The 27385-nt window shown below is 38.3% G+C and overlaps 1 protein-coding gene and 1 non-coding gene across 2 annotated transcripts; one reads left to right on the top strand and one right to left on the bottom strand.

Moving 5' to 3' along the window:
* On the bottom strand, positions 8796–11166 carry MKRN3 (makorin ring finger protein 3). The gene has a single exon (NM_005664.4). It carries the CDS (start codon positions 11055–11057, stop codon positions 9534–9536), a length of 1524 nt encoding a protein of 507 aa, NP_005655.1. The 5' UTR covers positions 11058–11166; the 3' UTR covers positions 8796–9533.
* On the top strand, positions 14709–14778 carry MIR4508 (microRNA 4508). The gene has a single exon (NR_039731.1). It is a non-coding gene; the product is annotated as a microRNA 4508 (primary transcript).

Here is a 27385-nt window from a genome sequence, read left to right as displayed (position 1 = left end):
CTAAAGCAAATTGATCACAAATTTGGGAGATATATGAAGTTGCTTATATGATTATTTCCTTTGATATATTAAGAAAAAATATTTTTTCATATTGTACCATCTTTGTTTTCCTGGAATATAATCCACTACTTCCTGAAGTCTTATTTTTTAACAGTGCTATTCTTTCACTTTCTAATATTTCATTTCATATTTTTTGCATCAATATTTATAAATGAGATAGATCTCTAGTTATTTTTGTATTATACTATGTTGGTACTATGGTTTGAATGTGTCCCCGCAAGAGGATGTGTTGGAAACTTAATCCCCAATATAACAGTGTTGGAAGGTAAGGCCTAATGGGAAATGTTGAGGTAATGAGAGCTCTACCCTCATGAATGGATTAATACCAATTATAAAAGGGCTTGAAGTTTTGAGTTCAGGCTATTGCTCTCTTCACTCTCATTGCCCTTTTGCCACAGGATGGTGCAACAAGAAGGCCTTCACCAGATATTGGCCCCTCAATCTTAGATTTCCCAGCCTCCATAACAATAAGCCAATAAACTTCTGTTCACTGTAAACTACCCAGTCTCAGGCACAGAGGGGCCCCAGTTTATGATGGTTCAACTTATGATTACTCAACTTTACGATGGGTGTATCAGGACATAACCCCAATGTAAATCAATGAGCATCTGGACTTAACAATGGTTTGACTTATGATTTTTTTGTCTTTATAATGGGTTTATAGGGACATTAAATGCATTTTCAACTATGATATTTTCTACTTATGATGAGTTTATTGGGACACAGCCCCATCATAAGTCAAGGAGCATGTGTATTCTGTTACAGCAGCACAAAATGAACTAGAACTGGCAATATTTTGATACCATGTTATATACCATTCATAAGTTATATAGGTGCACCTTTATTTTATAAAATAGTGCTTCTCAGTCTGTTTGTGTTGCTATAAAGAAATGCCTGAGGATGGGTAATTTATTTAAAATACAGGTTTCTTTGGCTTATGGTTCTGGAGACTGTACAAGAAGCATGGCACCAACACCTGCTTCTGGTGAGAACTTCAGGCAACTTCCACCCATGCCAGAAAGGGAAGGGGAGTAGGCATCACATGGCAAGAGAGAAACCCAGAGAGAAGAGGAGGAAATGCCAAGGTCTTTTAACAACCAGTTCTCTAGAGAACTCAAGAGTAAGAACTCACTCATCTCTGCAAGAATGGCACCAAGCCATTCATGAGGGATGCACCCCAATATTCCCAACACCTCCCACCAAGCCCCACCTCCAACACTGGTTATCAAATTACAATATGAGACTCGGTGGGGCCAAAGATACCATATCCAAACCATGGCATTCTGCCCCGACCCCCTAAAACTCAGGTTCTTCTCACATTGCCAGATAAAATCATCCTATCAACAAAGTCTTAACTTGGTCCAGCATCAACTCAAAAGTCCAAAGTCCAAAGTCTCATCTGAGACTCCAGGCAAGTTCTTTACAGCTGTGAACCTGTAAAATAAAAAACAAGATATTTACTTCCAAGATACAAACGTGATACAGGCATTGGTTAGACATTCCCATTCCAAAAGGGAGAAATCAGCCTAAAGAAAGAGGTAATACTCCCCACATTAAGTCTAGAACTCAGAAGGGCAGATATAAAAACTTAAAGCCCCAAAATGTTCTCCTTTGACTCCATGTCCCACATCCTGGGCACAACAGTATGAAGTGTGGGCTCCCAAGGCCTTGGGCAGCCCTGTCCCAGTAGCTTTGATGTGTGAAGCCCATGTGGCTCTTATCATGTACTGGAATCCAATGCTTGCAGCTTTTCCATGCTGAGAGTGCGTGCTGCTAGTGACTCTAGAATTCTGGGGTCTGGAGGATGGCAACCTTACTCCCTCAGCTCCACTAGGTGGTGCCTGGTGGAGACACTACGTGGGGGCTCCAACCCACAAAGAGCTCAGCCAATCTCACACTGTGTGCCTGCAGTCTTAGCACCACATGGAAGCCCCAAACATTACACTTTGCACCCTCTGAAGCAGTGGTCTAAACAGTAGCTTGAGCCCTTTGAGCTTTAGCTGTGGTCCGAGCAGCCAGGATGTGGGAAGCAGCTTCCCAAGATTGCACAGGGCAGCAGCACCCTGGGCCTGGCCCAGAAGTCATCTGTCCTCCTAGGCCTGTGGACCTGTAATGGGAGGAGTAAACTCAGATTCTGAAATGCCTTTGGACTTTTTTCACTGTTCTATTACCAACTGGCTCTCTTTTACCTGTGCTAATCTTTCTAGCAAGCAGTTGTTCAGCTGCGCCCCCCCTCAGATTTCCTCTCCTGAAAAATGCTCTTTCCTTCTCTTTTGCATGGACAGGCTTGAGTTTTCCAAATTTTTATGCTCTGTATCCCTTTTAACCAAAAGTTCCAACTTTAAGTCCTTCCTTTGCTCCCAATCTGTTGATTGTTGGATGCAGCCACACCACTTCTTGAATGCTTTGCTGCTTAGAAATTTCTTCTGCCAGATACTTTAGGCCGTCACTCTTAAGTTCAGCTTTCCACAAAGTGCTAGTGTATACACAATGCAGCCAAATTATTTGCTAGGGTATAACTTTGCTTCAGTTCCCAGTAAGTTCCTCATTTCCATCTGAGACCTCCTCAGCATGTCCTTTATTATCTGTATTTCTATCAGCATTTTGGTCACAACCAGTCTCTAGGAAGTTACAAGCTTTCCCTTCCTATCTTCTTCTGAGCCCTCTAGACTCTTCCAGCTTCTGCTCATTACCCAGTTCCAAAGCTGCTTCCAAATGTTTAGGTATTTTTATAGCAACGTTCCACTCCTCAGTACCAATTTTCTGTCTTAGTCCATTTTTGTTTCTATAAAGGAATATATGAAACTGAATATAATTTTTAAAAGAAGCTTATTTGGCTTATGGTTCCGGAGTCTGTAAAAAAATCATGGCACCAGCTGGGTGTGGTGGCTCATGCCTGTAATCTCAGCGCTTTTGGAGGCCCAGTCGGGTGGATCACCTGAGGTCAGGAATTCGAGACCAGCCTGACCAACATGGTGAAACCCCGTCTCTACTAAAAATACAAAAATTAGCTGGGCGTGGTGGCGGGCACCTGTAATCCCAGCTACTCGGGAGGCTAAGGCAGGAGAATTGCATGAACCCCTGAGGCAGAGGTTGCAGTGAGCCAAGAGTGTACCATTGCCCTCCAGCCTGGACAACAAGAGCAAAAATCCATCTCAAAAAACAAACAAAAAAAAAAGCGTGGCACCAATATCTGCTTCTGGTGAGGGCCTCAGCAAGTTTTCACTCATGATGAAAGAGGAAGAGGAGAAGACATCACATCATGAAAGAGAAGGCAAAGGAGTTGCCAGGTTCTTTTCCTATTTTTTTAGAGACAGGGTCTCACTCTGCAGCCCAGACCGGAGTGCAGTGGTACAATCATAGCTCGCTGCAGCCACGACCTCCTGGGCTCAATCAGTCCTCCCTCCTCAACATCCTGATTAGCTGGGACTACAGGCATGTACCACCATGTCTGGTTAATTGTTTCTATTTTTTTTATAGAGATGGGGTCTCACTATGTTGTCTAGGCTGGTCCAAACTCCTGGCCTCAAGCATTCCTTATGCCTCTGTCTCCCAAAGTGTTAGGATTACAGGCATGAGCCACTGTGCCCAGCCTAGGCTCTTTTCAACAACCAGTTCTAATGGGAATTCAGAGTGAAAATTCACTCACTTTCGTGAGGAGAGCAGCAAGCCATTCATGAAGGATCTGCTCCCATTACTCAAACACCTCCTACTGGGCCCCACCTCCAACACTGTGGATCAAATTTCAACAGGAGACTTGGCGGGCTAAATAAACCATATCCATACCATAGCAGTTCTGTATACTGAATGTCTGTGTATCTCCAAAATTTCTACGGTGAAATCTAATCTCTAAGGTAATGGTATTAGGAGATGGGACCTTTGGAAGGTGTTGGAGTCATGACGGTGGAGGCCTCATATGTGGAATTAGTGCCCTTAATAAAAGAGGTTCCAATTTGCCAGCTCAAATGGTATATACAGCTTTGTGTCTAAGCCCCCACAACTGTGATTCCCTCATCGTTTGTATTGTATTCTTGATGAACTTGCATAAAACTTTCACTATAACGTTATCATATGACATTGCTTCAAGCACTTCTCCACTGAAAAACAAACTACCCATAAAAAAGAAAACAAATATATTTATGTAATTATTTAGTTTTTAATACATTTTATTGTACATTAAAACAGCACAATTAAAGGGGTCCCAACGAGGTTGGTAGTGCCTTCCACTATGTGAGGACACTAAGAAGATGGTCATCTATGAACCAAGCTGCCGGTGCCATGCTCTTAAACCTCTCAGCCTCCAGAACTGTGAGAAATAAATTTATGTTGCTTATAAGCCACCTAGTTTATGATATTTTTTAACAGTAGCTCAAATGGACTAAGAAATGGTTTATACAGCATTGCAATATATTTAATTAAATGTTTAAGTAAATTTCAGGGGATAATGTCTTCTGTTTCTTTCTGTGTGGAGTAGGGAGTAAGTGAATTTTAGACAACTTCTTTTTTTGTTGTTGTTAGTAATAGGTTCGTTTAGATTTGTCTTCTGGATTGATGTTTGGAAATTTATATTTATGTTGAAACTGTTAAATTTTGTTTCATATTTTCAAGTACATTTCCCTCAGGTATAACAAGGATTTATTTCCCATTTCTTTAGTGTCTTTTTAGCTCTAATTACCTCTGATTAACATTTCCTATTTTAATTGCACTTTATCCTTTATTTTTTAAGTTAGTGGTTTATCTGTTTACTAATTATTTTTACAAAAAAAAAATCAGCCTTTACATTTTCATTCTCTGTTCAACAAATTTTTAGTTTAATATTTCCTAATTCCTCCTGCTTACTTTAGTTGTGTTTGTATGTGTTTGTGTATATGTGTGCATGTGTTCATGTTGTGGTCTTTTTAAAATTTAGGTTTGAATACCTAGTTAATTAGGCTCTTTGTTTTTAAGACAATATACATTAGTATTTAAAATTAGGAGTTATACTCTGAGTACAGATCCAGAAGTATCCTGTATATTACGGTGTGTATAATTTGTCATTGTCATATTATATTCTTCTAAATGATTTTGAATTCACTCCTACATCAAATTATTTATGAGAGACAATTAAAAGTGGTAGTAGCTTATTTTCTTTTCTTTGTTTTTTGTTTGAGACTGAGTCTTGCTCTGTTGCCCAGGCTGGAGTGCAGTGGCGCGATCTCGGCTCACTGCAAGCTCTACCTCCCGGGTTCACGCCATTCTCCTGCTTCAGCCTCCTGAATAGCTGGGACTACAGGCACCTGCCACCAACTCTGGCTAATTTTTTTTTTTTTTTTTTGTATTTTTAGTAGAGACAGGGTTTCACTGTGTTAGCCAGGACGGTCTCGATCTCCTGACCTCGTGATCCGCCCGCCTCGGCCTCCCAAAGTGCTGGGATTACAAGTGTGAGCCACTGTGCCCAGCCGGTAGTAGCTTATTTTCTTATATTGACCTCAGAAAATGTTGCCTGTACTACTTTTATATCTAGATCTAATTGACAGTTTCACTGTACTCTATTTCACAATTATTTTTGTTATTGTTCCATTAATATTGGAAAATGTGATATATATTTTCAAGGCAAAAATTGACATGAATTAGTTTACTTCTTTGCACTAGTACTGGCTTATTTCCCACACATCCCTGTTCCCAGCCCTACCCTAACTCTATCCCGCACTGAAGTTGTAGTTTAGTATTAGTTGTGGCAACAGAAACCATGCCTCTATGACGTTTGGAAAACTGTAAAATGGAAGAGCATATGGACATAGACCACAGACTGAAAATGTTTCCCTGTCAGTGAAATTCAGTGAATTGATTTAGTGACATGTGAGCCATGAGACAAAGTGATTTCCATATCTTCAAAGGGGAGGAATTACTAGGTAAATTTCTCTTAGTATATTTGCATGTGTGGATATCCATCAAATCGAGACACATGAAACCTAAGCAAAGCAAACCTGACTTGTTTTAGGCTTTTTAAGTTGTAGCTGAAATGATACCATTTTTGTGGACCCCAGGGCTGAGTCCTTGAGTCCTCATAGGGGCGAGGGCCAGCACACACTCTGAATCACTCACAGAGCAGACCTTTGTGTGGCAAAGGCTTCTTTGTTCCTGACTGCAGCAGGGGAGTGGTCAGATCGTGGGAAAGCCCTTGGTAACATTTCACCCAGACCTGGTGGCAGTAATACTTCTGTTATTTGACATTTTTCTGAATGAACTGATGAGGGAACAAGGAATCCCATATATTCTAAAAATGTCCCTTTGTTATTTTCCTCACCTAGAACTCTGCCAAAAATATGTATTTCTTTTGTTATATTTTAAGTAATTGAATAGCACATATTTAGTTTCAAATGAATAATTTTTGCTGAAAAAATACTTCATCTTTTTGAAATTATGAATGTGAGGGTAATATACCCCTTGCTTACCAAAATAATCATTAAATGATAACATTACATTAATACAAGTTCCAGAGATTCTCAAAAAGAAAATCTTGGTGATTAATTTCTGTGCAATCACCTTTTCATGTCCAAAAATATGCACAAATCTCATATCTATATATAATCACTAAAAAAAAAAAACCTATGTTTCAAGCTTTTTGTCCAGACTACATTTGATCCTCACAACAATCCTGCAAAAGTAGGTGGAACTGTACCCATTTCTCATATGAAGAAACTGAAGTACAGAAAATTTAAGTAACTTGCTTAGACTGTGAAACTGAATGGCTGGTAAGAAGCAGAGTCAGGATTCTAACTATCCTTGGTCTCTCAAGCCACTTTATTTTCTACTGACGATTGTCCTACTATAAATACTGAACTTTATGATTATCTGGTTCAAGATACTATTTGAATAAAAACACAATATTTCACAATGCAGGGAAGTGTACATTTGGAGAAACTTTCCACAGCTTTCTGGGCTCAGCTTAAAAACCCCTCTCTGAAAGCTTTGCCACTATTTTCTGAGACTTTGGTGTTGGCACAGTCTTTGAGAGTGCACCATCTGGTCTCATTCTTTGGTTGTTTAGTTCATCTAATCTCTCTTTCTCCTGCACGACTGCAGGGCAGGGACCTCAGATGTTTGGAATTTATTTGGAATCTGTCACTCACCTTGCATGCCAGTGATAGTCAGGCATCAAGGGTGTCCTGATTGGTGAATTCTTTGGCTAAGAGGAATCAAGAGGAAAGGAATATGGCAAAAGGTCCAGGCAAATAGGCTGAGGTACTTAATAGGAGAACCAGGAGTCATGTAAGAAGGGAGAGGCAATGTAAAAGTATAGGAGGCTGAGGCACACTCTGAAGCAGTGGACTAAAATCACTGAGCTGGCAGCCTATAGATAAAAGCCCCATGGCTCCTACATTCTGTGGGAGCTTATTCAAGTCCATCTTTGCTCCACTTGGCTGAATCATCCATATTTAAAGGCTGTACTTGCATCTCCAGCAGCTACATTCAGCTGGTCGACCTGCTCCTAGTGAACATGGTAAGTGCGAGTGCTCTGGACAAATACTGCTTGAGTTCCAGTCTTTGTTCCACTAATTCACAGCTATGGGTCGTAAACTCTACGGGCAAAACCTTTAAATTCTCTATTATTTACCTCATCATGATAATGAGAAAAACTATAGCAAGTACCACATTAGGTAGTTCTGACAAATTCATCCTTTTGCATGCAAAGTACATGGTATAAACTCTGTAAATGTGCCATCTTTGTTGGACAGTCAGGACAGTGTGAATAACCTGGGACTCAAGATTCAGACTCCCAGCATATTTTTCAGCTACTTCAGCCAAGATAAGTGCATTTGCAGTTGATGCAGATCATACGTTGTACAGGTAAATCATTAAAATGGCATCATTCTCTTTCACATTCATTTTTTCTTTGCTTGTTTGGTTACTAAAAAGATGTATTAAAATTGTCCACTAAGAGTCTGGATTTAGGATTTTCATCAGTTGTGTATCTGATACAATGTTATTAAATGTATACAAAATTTGAAGTTATATATTCCTGTGAATTACAATTTAATGTTTATGTACCATTCCTTTTTATCTCCAGCAAAGTGTTTATCCTTACTATAAACTTTGTCTACAATCAAGAGAGTCCACAGCACCTGTTCGGCTTTTTCCCATCCTACTACTTTGAGTGTTTCTGTATTTTCATGTTGTGTGTATTTTAAACAGGATGTTTCATTCTGATTGTAATGAAGTCTTATAGCCTTTGACTTTCAGTCTTTAAACTGCTTTCATTTAATCTAATTAAGTTGTATGTAGATTTTCTATATTAGTCTTACACTTAGTTTTTAGTGCTTTCTATATTTTATTATTTTATCTTTCCATTCTTTTATTCTCATTGGTTTTAATATTTTTGTTCTATTTTCCCTTTTATAATCTTGTTACTTTTATGTTGAACTCTTTTGTCAAAAGCCCCTTGTTGGGAAAGTCTAGAGACTTTGTATATCAAATACAAAGCACTGTGCCTCTGAGCCTAGGATTTGCTGTTACAAAGAATTAATGAGAAGGTGGCTAAACTGCATAGGAAAACCATTTCTGTATTTATAGAGTAAGCTATTAATGCCATTGTAAGAATTACCAATATAGTGCTTTGTAAGTCCTCTAAGATCTGCATCTGTCACATTTGGCCAGACCCACTTGAACAGTCCTTTTCATTAGATGCTAATTACTGGCTTCTGTGCGAGGGACAGAAAGATTATTCACACAACTCACATCCACACAACAGCCAATCCTGTTAGGCTTTGACCTTCAGCTTTCAGCTCTGTATTTACTTTATTACATAAACATAAATATTATATTGTGATGTATATTCTTTTATATATTTTTTTCAAATACATAACTCTTATACATATATATTTTTATATATATAATTCTTAAATATATATTTCCAAATATAAATTATTTCATGTCAAGCTAAACAGGATAAAAACATGTAAACATATACACTTGGTTTTGGTCAAGTAAAACACAAAATCACAAGTTCATCACAGTTTAACAAGTGCACTTGAAGGGGAAGGAGGGAAAGAACAAACTGTAAACAAACAGATGAGCAGCTGCAAAGCCCTGCAAGGGTCCATTTGTTAAGGCTATTATAGCACAAAGCTACTAGTTCAATTAAAACTTCTCCTTTCACTCTGCCACATTTACTCTTGAGGGTCTTCAAAATAAGTGTGGAAATTCAGTAAACACTACACTAGAACTGAGTTAATCCTGTTGACAACAGAGATGACAAAAAAAAGCCATAAGCTGACATTAATATTAATTTCACCAAAACAGTAACTTTAAGGACTTATTTTTTAACACAGATAATCACCATAATCCTAGGGGGAAAGATATGCAGAATAGACAAGAAAACAGAAGCACTGCCTCAACAGCCCCTGAAAGCAGTAAGAGTGTCAACACAGGGAAAACAGGCAATAGCAGACGACAGAACCTCAGCAGACTAGACCACATGCCACAGCACGATGCTACAGAATCAAATTGAAATATTCTTCCAGCTCATAATGAAGCAAGTCCCACTGGTCCTCAGAGAAGGGTAACTCATCTCTCAGTGAAAGAAACCGCTTAAACAACAGACTGGCCAGCCGAAGCACGACAAGCTCCTTCTTAATGCTTTTATAGAGCATGTTGCCCTCTCCCATTCGCACAGGCTCCACAAGTTGATGCCAGTATGCGCTGAATGACCCACCACCTGGCCCAGGAGGCTCATCTCCCCAGCCCTCAGGGTATTCATGCTTGTAAAAGCATGTGTCTCCAAATGGGCAGTTACCCCTGCCTTCCGCAAAATACCTGCAGGCCTTGTTGCTCATTGCCTCCTTGTATTGCTGAATAAGTTTCTGCTTCTCTTCCTCCTCCTCCACCCAGAACTCACTGGGAATGACCAATTCAGAGGTGACCCTGCACTGTGGGCAAGACTTGACGATCCTGTTCTCAAACTGTCTGGCACTTCTCCACCTGCGGATACACCTAATACAGAAGGAATGGTTGCAATTGGAAAGAATGCCAAAGCGGCGGTCATTGGGGTTGGCCTTCTCATAGACAACCTCCATGCAGATGCCACACACCTTGTCCATACCACGCTGCACAGCAAACGAGAGTTCCATATCTTTCTCGTGTGCTTCAATGCAGGCCCTCATATGTTCTTCCCTCTGGGCAGCATCCATGGGGTGCAAGGTCTGCAGCCCACACATGTCGCATATGTCTCCATGGAGGTACATACAGCTCTCCCCACGAAAGCAAACTCCCCTGGAAGCATAATAGCAAAACCGCAACCCACTGCCCACAGCCATCTGCTTCCTCTCAGTCTCTGAGCTCTGTAGAGGAGCCTCGGGGGCAGATGCAACCCAGCGGCCCCGGTAGGGCTGCCCTGGAACAAACTCAATGGCATCCGCCCAGCTTTCTACACCTGCTCCTCCAGCAGCTCCACGGTCTGCATTGTCTCTCTCGGCTTCAAAGAAACCCCTTTCAGCAGCCGAGCCAATCACAGGCAAGGAAAGGGAGGATGCAGCCGGGGGGGCTTCCGCCACTTCCTGAGTCGGGGGCTCGATGTGCGCAGCCGTGCTAGGGCCTCCACCTGCAGAGGCCCCAGGCGGCGAAACGCCACCCTCAGTGGCCATCTTCCGACCAGAAAGGTCGTGCGAATAGCGACAGTTCTCCCCCTCCTTGCACTGCCCATGTATATAATACCTGCAGATGATCTGCTTTGTCCAAATGCCGCTGCTTCGGCTTGGCAACGGACTGGGCCAGGCTCCTCCTCCTGAGGCTGGGGCAGGCCTCAGGCCTCCTCTGCGGAGGTGGGCAGGGACTGGAGCTACAGGGAAGGGGGCCCAGCCCCTTGCCGCATGTGGCAGGGCTGAATCTGGAGCAGCAGATTCCCCGGAGGGCTCACAGACGGGAAGGTCCGGCCCAGACACACCCTCCCTTGCTGCCTCAGCACCTGCCTGGGCCCCGGCTGCCTCGTGGGCTTCTGAGGGAGCTGCAGGCTCTTCCATGGCTGCTTTGGCACCCCGAAATGGTGCCAGAACCTCTCCGGTATTTTTTCTTTATGGGCTTGAGGCCCGGAATGGCGGCCGCGCTCGGAGGCTTCTCTGGGGGAAGTGTGCATCTCTTTTTCCTTCCCCCCTGCTTTTGGGTCCCTCTGACTGTGTGTTCCTACCTACTTCCGGGCACAGGCAGCATGGCGGACACTTCCTGTGGGGGCAACGTACGTGCTCTGCCTGGTTTTTACCGCAATTTTCCAATCTGACATATTTTTTCGTTCACACAGGCGGGGACCAACCCAGCCCCTTTTGTCTGCCTTCTGCCTCTGCTTCGCTGTGTTCCGGCAGTCCCTAAGTCCCTTCTCACACGATTTCCTCAGGAGAATGAGGTTTTACTTTAATCTCTTCTGGTTTCGGTCATGCACGCTTCGTTGTATTTTCGTATCTGTCTGCCTTAAAAAAAATATAATCCTATAGATTCTGAAACATTTCATCCATGAATTATATAAATTCTTTTTTTATTCACTCCATCTTATGTCTGTGGTTTTTTTCTTTTAATGCCCGATCGCGGCAGGAAGCTTTTTTCAATTCGTTCGGTTGACAAGGCGCCGTTTCTTTTGGTCTTTGTTTTCTGGGATTTCTGAGGGCTTACACTGGATACGCTTTTCACCAGCAAGGCATTAGCAGAGAGCACTTCTGATCCGAGGCTAAGTTAGCACCTTTCAGATGTCTTTCTTTATTGTGATTACTATGCTCATTTTCCCACTGTGTTAGAAGCGCCAGACTTCAACCAGTCCTGATGCTGGCCTAATAAGACACTGTCCCCTGCATGACCCAGGCTTTTATTTTCTCTACTGGTTTAATTCATGGCAGCCCTTTGTTTCCCTTCCTTTCTTTCAACCCCATCTGTGCTGTGTTGTGGCAGGACAGCCTTTCATAACATATCCTGTGCCATATTATCCACAAAGGAATGGTCTTTAATTTCCATGTATGAGCGTTTTGTCATTTTTGCAGATAAATGTAGTAGATTAATCATTTTTTTGTATTCCTACTTTGCTGAGAGTACGTATCATGACTGCATACTGAATTCTGTTATGTAGTTTTATACATTTTTTGAGACAATTTTGTTTTTCCCTTTATTCTCTTAATGTGATTATTTGCAGCTATGAGTTTCAAATATTTAACTAACCAATTTGTTTCTAATAAGAAGCCCTTCTGTCATGATATATCATTTTATATATTATTGGATTTTTTTTCTATAAGTTTCTTTGAGGAAATTTTGTTGCCTAAATCTGTAAAGTGGAAACATATCTGAATATTTATAATCACCCAAGTCAACAAATTAAATTATAATTAAGTAGGTAAAAGCAATGAAAGCAGAATGAAGCAAATAATAAGGGCAAGAAAAGCAATGAAGAAAAACAAATATTAAATAAGGGAAATAAATTAAGTAAAATCCCTTAAACTGCTTATTGAAGCCAGATAATTTCTGGTGAAATTTATCAAGGAAAAATGAAGAAGGCTCTAATACCCAAGATCAGTAATTTCAAATATGTTATCACTACATTAATAACAGACATTAAAAATCATTAGAGAATATCAGGAACAAAGTTAGGAGATAAAACTTGAAAAGTTACATGAAATAGTCATATTGGTGGAAACATCTATTAGTAAAAATGACAGGAGCAGAAATACATGTGAATATGGATCTGTTAAATTACATCTGTAATTTAGATAATTATCTAAATAAAGGTCTCTAAAACTTTCTCTCTGAAATAAATCTAAAGGCAAAAAAAATCTGTATTTATTATTGCAAGTCCTAGCTAGTGTAATAGCAAAGAAATAAAAGATGTTATAACTGGAAAGAAATTATTGATGGAATGCAACAGAAAATTGAGAATAATTTACAGATAAGCTATTAGATTTAATAGGTACATTTAGCAAGGACACTGGACAGGAGTCCAATATATGAAAATCATTTTTATTTCTCTATCATCAATAACATTTGAAGTAAACATTTAAAATTAATAACATTCATAACAACATTAAAAGTTAGCTAACCTAGGAATTAAACTAATTAAGGTTATACAATAAAATTAAAAACATTTTAGCTTCAGAAGACCTAAATAAATTGTGGGATACTTTATATATAGTCTTTATAGTCGGTCAGTAGAAGGCTCAATGTTTTTAAAAGGTAGTCTTTTCCTAATTTGATAATTATTTGAAAATGGTGCTGATTATTCATCGTGAATGTAGGAAATGTTGGATTTATCTTTCTCCTTTTCATAGTTACCAAGTTTTATATTTTGCATGCAAGCTGTCCCAAAGTCTGCCTCACTTGAACTTTCTGAAACAAACTTTCTCTTTATCAGGATTTGTTTGTCAGCCCCAGTGATTTTTACAAGAAAAAGACTTGCAGCACAGCTCTCAGGCTTCTACGCCAAGCTCTCTACAAATTCACAAACATAAGAATCCTGAATATAAAATTATTACTGGCTTAATTGTGATATTTTCCTAGCACTGCATCTATTATTTGCTTAATTGTGATATTTTCCCAGCACTGTATCTAAATCATATTTGACCCTCTCTTGATGCACCAGCACTGTCCAGAGGAACTTTCTGTGAAGAATTTATATATATGCATGCTGTACAGTATGAAAGCTAGCCCCATGGGGTTCTTGGGCACTTGAAATGAGGCTAGAGTGACGGAGGAAATGAATGTCCATTTTTTAAATTATAAATTTAAATAGCCACATGAGGCTAGTAGTTACTGCATTGGAGTGAAGTTCTATACAATATTTGACCATCTCATCTCCTAACACAAGGGAACTGAGAAGCATATGTTTCCTCACCTGCCCAAGGCTATGCAGCTGGTGCCAGGCAGTGTTTGCTTCCAAATGCCCACCTGTGTGGCTGCCACTGGTGTTCATGTCTTATAGTCTGATAGTGACTTTATCTTTTAGTTTTGTCGTGACAATATTTCATATAAACTGTTATAAGCCAATATTGTATCCCATGATTTTAAATACCATAAAAAATTGAATAACTGGAAATAACTGGGCAGTGCATCTTGAGAAAAATAAACTAGTTCCCATCCTATCCAAATGTCTTCAGAGATCATTTCCTCTGACTGCCATTGTCTATATTCCTGCCATGATATATACATATGTATATTTTTTGAGCATCAATATTGTTTTTACAGTTCTCAGAAAGTAGACATTTAGTCATTTGTCTAGTTATTTGGCTCAGCTGTGCCTTCTTTTCTAACAAAACACTGACAGCCTCAGAGGCTGGGACCTGGTTTCCTTGTGCACACACCAGTCTGCAGGGTAGCATGGGATCCCCTGGCCGGTCAGCATTTGGGGGTCCGAATGGAATGAGTGCAAGGCTGGGCGATGGCAGAGCTGAGGTGAAGTCCGGGCAGTCTAAGAATATCCTAAGAGGAGGGAGCAAGTTCAGAAGTGAACTGCAGGATGGAGAGAAGCTGCAAAGTCCTGCAGTTTTTTACTCCAAACAGCTCAGGCATGCGCTGCCTAGCCCCGTGTGGTTAACATGTCCGTATTTAAAGAACACACAATTAATTGCCTAAAAGCATTATCCTTCTCAGCACTCTCCTATCCTTCAGATCTAACCTTTAGGCACTGCCGGCTGCCGGCGGGGTCCAGGACCCAGCGGGGCTGGGCGCGCGGAGCAGCGCTGGGTGCAGCGCCTGCGCCGGCAGCTGCAAGGGCCGCAGAAATTAAACGCGAGTGTCCAGAATCGGGCATTGTGGGTTTAAATCCTGAATCCACTGGTCACTATCTGAGACTTTCCCCTGTCACAAATTAGTTACCTTCTTTTATCCCATCTGACAACGGGAATAATAACAGCAAGAATTACACCGACTAGTTCACAGGTTTGCTGTATTAATTAATTTATAATAATTCATTAATTCTTATAAAGTGATTGGAACGATGCCTGATCTTTAAGATACCTGTAAGTGTCTCTTCTATTTTAGAACCACCCAAAGAATCCTGTGACTGAAGTCTTTGTGTCAGTCCCTCTATGTGCACAGCAGTCAGATTTCTATAGGGGCCCTAGAAATTACTGGCACATGAGAGGTGGTGAATGAGTATTTATTGCCTTATATTGATAGACAAACTGATTTTTATTTTGAAATTTAAAGAGCCAGTTTTCTCCAACCCTTAGTTCAGAAGTTTAGTTGTAGAATACCTTTGTGGAGGATTTCTTGTGCTTTCATCACTTGTGGTAGCAGTAGGATTCTGGCTGGAACAGCACTCCTTTAGCTCATTGTTGGCTGTTTTGAATAGACATCTGATCACCCTGAGTGAATAACTGGATAACAAAAAGTTACTTTAAAATGGCTTTAAATTTCAATATGAATATGAAAAAGAGGTGTAAGTACTCCTACAACCACTTAAAGATCATAAAAGATACTGCTTATACTGATTTTTCTATATTGTAATCAAACACTGAAATTTTCAAGAAATCTTCTGTCTACAGATGTCAAAAATTCAACTACATTTCAACTTTAAGGTGGTTAACAGAATTTTGTCATACTGCTGTATTTTATACATACAAAACATGCTTAATGTCCAATTTGTAGTCAGATGAAATAACTTATCTCAAGCTAGTATTTTTATCCGGAACAAGGATAGAAACTGGTTACTATACATGAAGTAAATGCTTAAAAGACAGGAAATAGTTAATGTGGTGAGTGCTCAGGGGAAAAAAAAAGATGGCCTTAAGTAACCTAAATAACCTGTGGGTGGTAGAAGCAATCACAAAGAAAACTGGAAAATATTTTCAACTGAACAGTAATGAGTGTATAACATGTTAAAAGACTTAGGTTGCACTTAAAGTCATGCTTAGAGGCAAAATTTAATGCATTCTTAAATTCTTAAATGCATTCGCAAGAAAGGAAAAAGGCCCATTTCCAAAAAGGGGAAAAATGTCAAAATGAAGACAGGGCATGGGAAGAATGTCAAATGAAAATGATGGAGTCCTATTTTCTCCTTCCTCTTCAGGAAAAGGTCCAGTGAGGTGCATCCTCATAAACCATGTGCCATTCGTACACTTAGATCTGCATGCTGAGGCCACTGGGAAAAAGGACAGAATTAACTGGAATTTGGTGCTTGGAGAATGAGCAATTTTCATTAAAAAAAATACTCATAATTTTACATGTTCCTTTCCTCCTCCAAAATGTTCAGGCAGTCAGTAAAGAAAATTGTACAGTCGTACAGTCGTACAATCATACCTGCATGACCAGACAATGAAGTTCATGTCCTACATAAAAGATTAGAAAGTCCATTAATATATATGACCACGAGAGGGTGGATAGGTAATTGATTGAATAACAAAGGGAAAAGACCACAGTAATGTAAAGATATTTATTCACTTATTAATACTACTGACATAATTGATGTATGTAAAAACACTCTACTTTGTCATAGCAATATGACAAAATTCTGTTAACCACATTAACGTATAAATGTAGTTTAATTCTTGACATCTGTAGAAAAGTATCCAGAAGATTAGTTGAAAATTTGAGTACAATATAGATAAATCAGTAAAATGTTTACAAGCAATATCTTTTACGATCTTAAAACTAAGTGGTTGTAGGAGTATTTACACCTCTTTTTAGAGTGTGCAATATATAAAAAGTTATGACATATTGAACTTAAAGCATGTCCCCACATATTCCAAAGATCGAAATAATTCAGAGTATATTCTGACTCTAGATTGAAATGGAACCAGAAATCACAAAATATAAATAGAAAATAGATTCTTTATTTGGATATTAATAACTATATTTCTAAATGACCCACATGTCTAAGAACAAATACAAAATAATTCAGAAAATATTCTAATTTGACTAATAATGAAGGTGCTATATATAAAATTTTGTGTGCTAGTTGAAAAGCAATGCTTTTTAGGGCAAATTTTATAACAGGATATATAATACATGTTTCTAATATGTAATACATTACAAAATGATAAATTCTGATTTCCTCTGACATAATTATTCAATTCAGAAATTTACAAAAAAGATAAGACATTTAAACAAAATAAAATATATGAAGGAAATAAGAAAAATAACAGAAATTAATTTTTAAAGTCCAAACATATAACAAGAAGAATAGTGAGAGTTTGGTTCTTTAAAAGGATTCGTATACAGGTATTAAAATACCACATGTACTCCCAAAATATTTACAACTATTATATATCAATTTTTGAAAACAGTTAGTAAAACTGATAAACCTCTGGTGAGGTTCACTGAAGAAAAATGATGATTACTCAACTAACCAATATGAAGAATAAAAAGTGATGACATCCTTAATATGCATACAGACTTTAATGAGATCGTAGAAAGATATATACAACTTAGGTCATTAATATGGAAATGTACTTGAAATGGTTAACTTTCTAGAAAACCCACAAATTATCAAAAGTAAAACAAAAGTAAATGGTAAAAATGAATAGCCCTCTAGCTATTAAAGGAAATTAATTACAATTAACAATTTTCTTAAAACAAAAACTCTAGGACCAGAGAGTTTCACAATAAATTCTATTACCTTTTTAAGAAAGAACATTACAGATCCATGTTGCTCATAATCTTTGATGCAAATCTACAAAAGATTAAAAAATGCAAAGAAGGATTCATTCTAGTTATTAAAGGTAATTTAAATATTTGAAAATCAATAGTGTCAATAATCACATTAAGATATTATGTCAGGCAAGGTGGCTCAAGCTTGTAATCCCAGCAGTTTGGGAGACAAAGACGGGTGGATCACTTGAGGTCAGGAGTTGAAGACAAGCCTGGCCAACATGGCGAAACCCTATCTCTACTAAAAATACAAAAATCAGCTGCCAAGTGCCTGTAATTCCAGCTACTTGGGAGGCTGAGGCAGGAGAATTGCTTGAGCCCAGGAGGTGGAGGTTGCAGTGAGCCAAAATTGTGCCACAGCACTCCAGTCTTGGTGACAGAGCAAGACTGTCTCAAAAAAAAAAAAAAAAAAAGATATTAAATGAGAAAAGTCAAGTAATAAGGTCTCAAAATTCCATATTTTTCTGTTAAAATAATAGCTATTTATGAGAAAACTCTTAGGACAATAAGAATAGAATTTCCTTGTTCTTAAAAAAGGAATATTTTTCTCTAATAATCAGTGAAGTTTTGGGAACTTCAAGATTATTTTCAACTAAACGAAATAAAATATCAAGAATAATTTTGAAAAAAATAGGAGCTCTATGATTCCTTTTATCAACAAGTCCTTTTTGATATCAGTAAAATGAAACTGTGGTTTTTCAGTCTTTTTCTTAATGTCCTCATATGACACAGGGATAGGACACAACAGACCTTAAGATATGAATCAATACTATTAAGAAAAAATTGTCCTTAGCATTAGAAATTAAAATAATTATAATGAATTTAACCTTAGACATCATTGGTATACAAGATACGATTTTTTAAATCCATTAAATATTTTTTTTAAAAATTTCTTCATATATAATTGGCATACCATCATAAAATGTTTTAGATGCATAATTCAATGACTTTAATAGATTTATAGATTTTTGCAACCCTATTCACAATATAATTTTGGAATATTCTCACCCTCAGCCTTAGCTAAACTTTAATCTTTTTCCATCTCCATGAATCTGCCAATTATGGATATTTCTTATAAAGAGAATCATGTGATGTGTGGTCTCTTGTGTCCGAATTCTTTCACTTTACATTTCGAGGTTCATTCTGTACATATCATTTCATTTACTTTGATTTTAGAACATTTCATTGTATGAATATACTACATATTGTTTCTCCTTTCAGGAGTTGATAGATATTTGTTTTTTGTTTTTTTCGCATTTTGGCTATTATGAATAGCACTGCTGTGGACATTCACACAAGCTTTTATGTGGCCATGTGTTTTCCTTTTTGTGGGTACATACCCAGGAGTGGAATTGCAAGGAATTATATGTATAACATTCTGAGAAACTACTAGTTTCTTAATGTGGTTGCTGTATTCCATAGTTAAATTAGCAATACATAAGGGCTCCATATCATCCACAGTCTTGCTATTACTTGTCATCTTTAAAAAAATAATTTCCGGCCGGGCACGGTGGCTCATGCCGGTAATCCCAGCACTTTGGGAGGTCGAGGCAGGCAGATCCCGAGGTCAGGAGATCAAGACCATCTTGGCTAACATGGTAAAACCCCATCTCTACTAAAAATACAAAAAATTAGCCGAGCATGGTGGCGGGTGCCTATAGTCCCAGCTACTCCAGAGGCTGAGGCAGGAGAATGGTATGAACCTGGGAGGCAGAGCTTGCAGTGAGCTGAGATCACGCCACTGCACTCCAGCCTGGGTGACAGAGCAAGATTCCATCTCAGAAAATAATAACAATAATAATAATAATAATAATAATTTCGGCCAGGCATGGTGGCTCACACCTGTAATCCCAGCGCTTTGGGAGGCTGAGGCAGGCGGATCACCTGAGGTCTAGAGTTCGAGACCAGCCTGACCAACACGGAGAAACCCCGTCTCCACTAAAAATACAAAATTAGCTGGGCATGGTGGTGGGCGCCTGTAATCTCAGCTACTTGGGAGGCTGAGGCAGGAGAATCGCTTGAACCTGGGAGGTGGAGGTTGCAGTGGGCCGAGATCGTACCCTTGCACTCCGGCCTGGGCAACAAGTGTGAAACTCTGTCTCAAATAATAATAATAATAATAGTAATAATTTCAACTTTTATTTTAGATTCAGGGGATACCTGTGCCAGTTTGTTACATGGGTATATTGTGCGTTGCTGAGGTTTGGGATATGATTGATCATGTCACCCAGCTAGTAAGCATAGAACCCAGTAGTTTTTCAATCCTTTCCCCGTTCCTCCCTCCCCACTCTAGTAGTACCCAGTGTCTGTTGTTCCCATCTTTATGTCCATGAATAACCAATATTTAATTCCCAGTTGTAAGTGAGAATATATAGTATTCGGTTTTCTGTTCCTGCATTAATTCGTTTAAAATAATGGCCTCTAGCTACATCCATGTTGCTGCAAAGGACATAATTTTGTTCTTTATCATGGCTGTATAATATCCCATGGTATGTATGTACCACATTTTATTTATCCAGACCACCATTGTAAGGCATCTGGGATTATTCTCTATCTTTGCTATTGTGAATAGTGCTGTGATGAACATACATGTGTCCTTTTGATAGAATGATTTATTTTCTTTTGGATATAAAACCAGGAATGGGATTGCTGGGTCAAATGGTGGTTCTAAGTTCCTGGAGAAATCTCCAAACTGCTTTCCACAATGGCTGAAGTAATTTATATTCCCACTAAGAGTGTATAATTCTCTTTGCTCTGTAGCCTCACCAATATCTGGTGTTTTGTTTGTTTGTTTTTCAGTTTTTAATAATTGCCATTCTGATCGATATGAGGTGGTATCTCATGGTATTGACTTGTATTTCTCTGAAGATTAGTGTATTAGTCCATTTTCACACTGCTGATAAAGATATACCCAAGACTGGGCAATTTACAAAAGAAAGAGGTTTATTGGACTTACAGTTCCACATGGCTGGGGAGACCTCACAATCATGGTGGGAGGTGAAAGGCGTGTCTCATATGGCGGCGGTGTGGTGTGGTGCTGCATGCCTGTAACTCCAGCTACCTGGGAGGCTGAGGTAGGAGAATCACTTGAACCAGGAAGCAGAGGTTGCAGTGAGCTGAGATCACAACACTGCACTCCTGCCTGGGAGACAGAGTGAGGGGAAAAAAAGTGTCTGTTCCTGTCTTTTGCCCATCTAACATATTAATTTTTTAGTTGGGTTGTTTATTTCTTACTAAGTTCCTTATAGATTCTGGATATTAGACCTTTGCTGTATGCATAGTTTGCAAATTTTTTTTCCCATTCTGTAGGTTGTCTATTTACTCTGTCAATAGTTATTTTGCTGTGCAGAAGCTCTTTAGTTTAACTAGTTCCCACTTGGCAATTTTTGTTTTTGTTACAGTTGATTTTGAGGACTTAGTCATACATTCTTTTCCAAGGCTAATGGCCAGAAATGGTATGGCTTAGGTTTTCTTCTAGGATTTGTATAGTTTGGGGTTTTACATTTAAATCTGTAATCTATCTTGAGTTAATTTTCGTATATGGTGAGAGGTAGGAGTCCAGTTTCATTCTTCTGCATGTGGCTACCAAGTTATCCCAACACCATTTACTGAATAAGGAGTCCTTTCTCCATTGCTTATTTTATTTATTTATTTATTTATTTATTATTTTTTGAGATGGAGTTTCACTCTTCTTGCCCAGGTTGGAGTGCAATGGCACAATCTCGGCTCACCACAACCTCCGCCTCCTGGGTTCAAATGATTCTCCTGCCTCAGCCTCCCGAGTAGCTGGAATTACAGGCATGCACCATCACACCCAGCTAATTTTATATTTTTAGTAGAGACAGGGTTTCTCCATGTTGGTCAGGCTAGTCTGAAACTCCTGACCTCAGGTGATCCATCTGCCTTGGTCTCCCAAAGTGCTGGGATTACAGGCGTGAGCCACCATGCCCAGCCTCCATTGCTTATTTTTGTCAATTCTGTTCAAAGATCAAGTGAGTATAGATGTGCAGCTTTCTTTCTGGGTTCTCTGCTCTGTTCCATTGCTCTATGCATCTGTTTTTGTACCAGTACCGTGCTGTTTTGGTAACCGTAGTCTTAAAATATAGTTTGAAGTCAGGTAATGTGATACCTCTGGCTTTGTTCTTTTTGCTTAGGATAGCTTTGGCTATTTAGGCTCTAAAATAACTAAGCATGTTTACATATTGTCCTTTGAAACTGCTTTATATTATTCAGGAAGCACATTCATATTGCTGGGTGGAATTAAGAAAAAGATTTATCATTTTGACACCAGGTAAAATATGAAAAGTAGAAATAACAAATCCTTATAAACAGTACTGGTATCCATGAACCAAAGCATCCCCTTTATACATACATGATATGGTTTGGCTGTGTCTCCACCCAAATCTCATCTTAAATTCCCACATGTTGTAGCAGACACCTGGTGGGAGGTAACTGAATCATGGGGGCAGGTCTTTCCCATGCTGTTCTTGTGATAGTGAATAAGTCTTATGAGACCTGATGGCTTTATAAGGCAGAGTTTCCCTGCACAAGCTCTCTCTCTCTTTGCCTGCTGCCATCCATGTAAGACATGACTTGCTCCTCCTTGCCTACTGCCATGATTATGAGGCTTCCCCAGCCACATGGAACTGTAAGTCTATTAAACCTCTTTCTTTTGCAAATTGCCCAGTCTTGGGTATGTCTTTATCAGCAGCATGAAAATGGACTAATATGCTGCACATTTTATTTGGCACAAATAATGTTTTCAGTATTTCTGTATATTCAAAGCAACACTGACAGCGGAGTATAATTTTCAAAGTGAAAATTTATACAATATCTATCACACACAGAGAGACAGAGAGAGAGAGAGAGAGAGACAGAGAGAGAAAATAGGTAAATATGTCTGTAGATAACTTAACCTAGTTGTAAAACTGCAGGCCAACCCTATCCAAAAGGCAATAATTACCTAACTCATGTGTCTGCTATAACAGAATTCCATAGACTGGTGGCTTAAACAAATAAACAACAAATAAACAAAAGCCATTTGTTTCTCCCAGTTCTTCACAGTTCTGAACCTGGGAAGTCCATGATCAAGGAAGTGGCAAATCTAGTCTGTGGTGAGGGCTTGATTCCTGGTTTGCAAATGGCCATCTTCTCTCTGTATCCTCACATGGCAGAGAGAGAAATCACCTCTCTCATTTTTTCTTGTAAGGGCACTAATACAATTTATGAGCACTCTACCTGCCTGACCTAATTACCCCACAAAGGTGCCACCTCTAAATACCATCACATTGGGCCACTATACTACACATATGGATTTGGGGTGGGGGACACAAACATTCAGTCACTAGCATGGGGCGATTCAAGGGCCTTTCAGGGGAAAAGGAGGGGGGTGGACCAGCATCCAGCATGCAGACCTCTCAGTGCATTGCTAGGAAAAAGAATGGTAGCTCTGAAAGACTGGGTGAAAGGCATAACCCTGAGATTCCCCTCCCGACAAGAAGCACCAAGAATACTAGTCCCAGAAAAAAATGTCCTTATAAACCAAAAGAGAGATGAAGACTTTCCCAGACAAAGGCTGAGGGAGTTCATCACCACTAGACCTACCTAACAGGAAATGCTAAAGGGAGTACTTTGAGTTGAAACAAAAGGATGCTAAACAGCAACACAAAAGTATAAAACACACTGGTTAAGGTAAATATACATATACATACAAATGCACAGATACATATACTCTATTGATGGTGTATAAATCACTTAATTTTAGTATAAAAGTTAAAAGATAAAAGCATAAAGAATAACTATAACTACAAAAATATGTTAATGGATATATGATATAAAACATGTAGATTGTGACATCAATAACAAAATGTGTGGGGGAAGAAGTAAGGTTATAGAGGGTTTTTTTTGTTTTGTTTTTTGAGACAGAGTCTCGCTTTTTCACCAGGCTTGGAGTGCAGTGGCACGATCTTGGTTCACTGTAACCTCCACCTCCCAGGTTCAGGCAATTCTCCTACCTCAGCCTCACAAGTAGCTGGGATTACAGGCACCTGCCACCACGCCCGGCTAATTTTTTGTATTTTTAGTAGAGACAGGGTTGACCAGGATGTTGACCAGGATGGTCTCGATCTCTTAACCTCATGATCTGCCCACCTTGGCCTCCGAAAGTGCTGGGATTACAGGCATGAGCCACTGCGCCCAGCCAAGTTATAGAGTTTTTGTTTGTGATCAAAGTTAAATGTTGTCAGCTCAAAACTGCTGATTAAAAGATGTTTTATGTAGGCCTCATGGTAACCATAAAGATACTTACAGAAGATATGCAAAAGAGAAAGAAAAAGGAATCACAACATATCATTGCAAAAAATTCCATAAAACACATAGAAAGACAGCAAGAGAGGAAAACAGGAACAAAATAACTACAAGACTGACAGAAAATAATTAAAAATATGACAATAGTAAATCTTTCAACATAAATTATTAAGTAAAAACAAAATAAACTCACTAATCACATAGTTGAATGGATTATAAAAACACAAGACTCATCTACATGCTGTCTACGAGAGAGACTTACTTCAGATGTAAGGAGACACATAGGCTGGAAGTAAAAGGATAGACTAAGATATCCCATACAACTGATAAAAGTAAGCAGGAGTGGCTATATTTATAACAGGCCAAATAGACCTTAAATACAAAACTATCACAAGAGAAAGAAACATATTATATAATGATTAAATGCTCAATTCATTAGGAAATATAAAATTATAATTATATGTGGACCCCAATCAAAATACCTACATATATAAAGCAAACATGACAGAATTGGAGGCAGAAGTACACAGCGATACAATAGTAGAAGGAGACTTTAATGTCACATATTCAGTTATGGATAGAACATCCAGACAGAAAATCAATAAGGAAATAGCAGGCTTTAATGATGTTATAGACCAAATGGACCTATAACATATATACAGAACATCCCACTCAGCATCAGTTGAAGTAATATCACAAACAACCTAACTTTATAACACAATGACCTAGAAAAAGAAGTTAAGGCCAAAGTTAGTTGAAGGAAGGAAATAAATATTAGAGCAGGAGTAAATAAAATAGAGAATAAAAACAACAGAAAAATCAATAAAATTTAGTTTTTTTTTGAAACATAAGCAGAATTTATAAAGCTTTAGATACACAAATAAAAAAAGGAGGACTCAAAATCAGATATGAAAGAGGAGATATTACAGCTGATGTTACTGAGAAAAGGAATCATAGTGATTACTGTCATTATATGACAACAAATTGGATAACATAGTAATGAATACATTTCTAAAACCGTAAAACCTTAAAACTAAAACAGGAAAAAAAAATCAAAACCGTAACAAATCAGTAATGAGTAAAGAGATTGAATTAGTAATCAAAAACTTCCCAAGAACAACAACAACAAAATGCCAAAGACCAGATGATTCACTGGTATGTTCTACTAAACATCTAAGAAGGAACCAATGTCAGTCCTTCTCAAACTCTTCCAAAAAACTGAAGATGAAGGAATACTTCCAAACTCATTTTATGAGGCCAGCATTGCTTGATGCCAAAGCCATATAAAGACACTACAAGAAAATAAAACTATGGGCCAATATCCTTGATGAATATAGACACAAAAATCCTCAATAATATACTATCAAACCAATTCCAGAACCACATGAAAATTATATGCTATGACCAGGTAGGATTAATTACTGGGATGCAAGAAGGATTCAACACATAGAAATCAGTAAATGTGAGATACCACATTAACTGAATGAATAAAAGTCACTTGACCATCTCAATAGCTGCAGAAAAAGGATTTGACAATATTGACTACTCTGTGATAAACTCTTAGCAAACTGGTTATGGAATAAATATAACTCAACATATTTAGGCTTTATATAAAAATCCCAGAGCTAACGTCACACTCAATGATGAAAAACTGAAAGCTTTAAGATCAGGAACAAGGCAAGGATGCCTACTCTTGTCACTTCTATTCAACATAGTGTTAGAAGTCTTAGAGAAATTAGAAAAGGAAATGCAAAGCATCCAAATCAGAAAGAAGACAATTATCTGTTTATAAATATGATATTTTATGTAGAAAATCTTAAAATCTTCACAAAAACACTGTTAGTTAATAAAATAAGTTGCAGCATACAAAATCAATAAACAAAAATTAGTGATGTTTCTATACACTAATAATAAATTATCAAAAAACTATAAAACAAAACTTATAAATTAAGTTGCAGCATACAAAACATACAAAAATCAGTGACATTTCTATATACTAAAAATAAACTATACAAAAAGGACATAAGAATCCCATTTACAATAGGATTAAAAATAATAAAATAGGAATAAACTTAAGAAAGTGTAAGACTTGTACACTGGAAACTAAAAAACCTTGATGAAGGAAATTAAAGCAGATACAAATAAAAGGAAAGACATCCCATGTTCACAGGTTGAAAGACTTAATATTGTTAAAATGTCCATAATACCCAAATGATCTACAGATTTAATACTATCCTCATCAAAATTCCAATGACATTATTTTACAGAAATAAAAAAGCAATCCCAAAATTAATATAGAACCACTAAGACCCTGAATAGCCAAAGCAATCTTGCAAAATAATAACAAAGCTAGAGGCATCACACTTCCTGATTTCAAAACATAGTACAAAGCTAAGTAATTAAAACAGTAAAATACTGGCATAAAAACAGACATACAGACCAATGAAACAGAATGGAAATCTTAAATCAACTCCTCCATATATAGGCAACTGTCCTTCTACAAGGGTGCTGAGAATACAAAATGGGGAAATGATAGTCTCTTTAAAGAAACGAGCTGGAAATGCTAGATACCTATACTAAAAAAGAATAAAACTGAACCCTTAGATTACACCATGCACAAAAATTAACTCAAAATGGACTAACAACTTAAATTTATGATGTGAAACTGAAAATCCTAGAAGAGGGGTAAAAAGCTTCTTTCAGATTTCCAATTGGATTAAATTATGAATCTTTGTTTTAATTTAGTTTTTATATGTATGAAATTTATTTACTCTATTTTATAAAAACATTAAAATAGGCCAGGCACAATGGCTTACTCCTATAATCCTAGCAGGTGTGAGTCACACCTGGAGGGAAGTCACACCTGGTTCCCTCTGGTGGTGCCATTCAATAACTTATCTAGTCAGTAAAAACTGGGAGGGGGGATGTGGTGAATCACACCTGTAATCTCTATAATTTGGAAGGCCAAGGTGGAAAGTTCCTTGAGGCCAGGAGTTTTGAGACCAGCCTAGGCAACATAGCAAAACCTTGTCTCTATGATGTACACCTGTGTTCCCAGCTATTAAAGAGACTGAGGTGGGAGGATCACTTGAGTCCAGCAGTTTGAGGCTGCAGTGAGCTAAGATCTCATCACTGCACTCCAGCCTGGGCAACAGAGTGAGAACCTGAGTCAGTCAGCCAGCCTGTCAGTCAGTAAATCAACCAGTCAATCAATAAAATGTAATATACTTATTTACTTTTTATTTTTCCTCTTGTTTTTAGAGATTTCTCTTTTTTTCTGTTTTAGTTTTTAGCAACCTGAAGCCACAGTTTTTAGTTTTTGTCTCTGGCTAATAAGAGGAAAAAGAAAGGAGTGGAAAGATCTTGGTGTCCTCCTTTAGACAGAAGCCTCCTCTTGGGTCCAAACCTTTACACAGTTGAATCAGTC

Source organism: Homo sapiens, chromosome 15 (assembly GCF_000001405.40).
Source record: "Homo sapiens chromosome 15, GRCh38.p14 Primary Assembly".
Taxonomy (NCBI): domain Eukaryota; kingdom Metazoa; phylum Chordata; class Mammalia; order Primates; family Hominidae; genus Homo; species Homo sapiens.
This window is presented reverse-complemented; position numbering and strand designations above follow the sequence as displayed.

Bases quoted from the DNA above. Each gene is read 5' to 3' on its own strand.
- MKRN3 (NM_005664.4), bottom strand. From the start codon at position 11,057: ATGGAAGAGCCTGCAGCTCCCTCAGAAGCCCACGAGGCAGCCGGGGCC.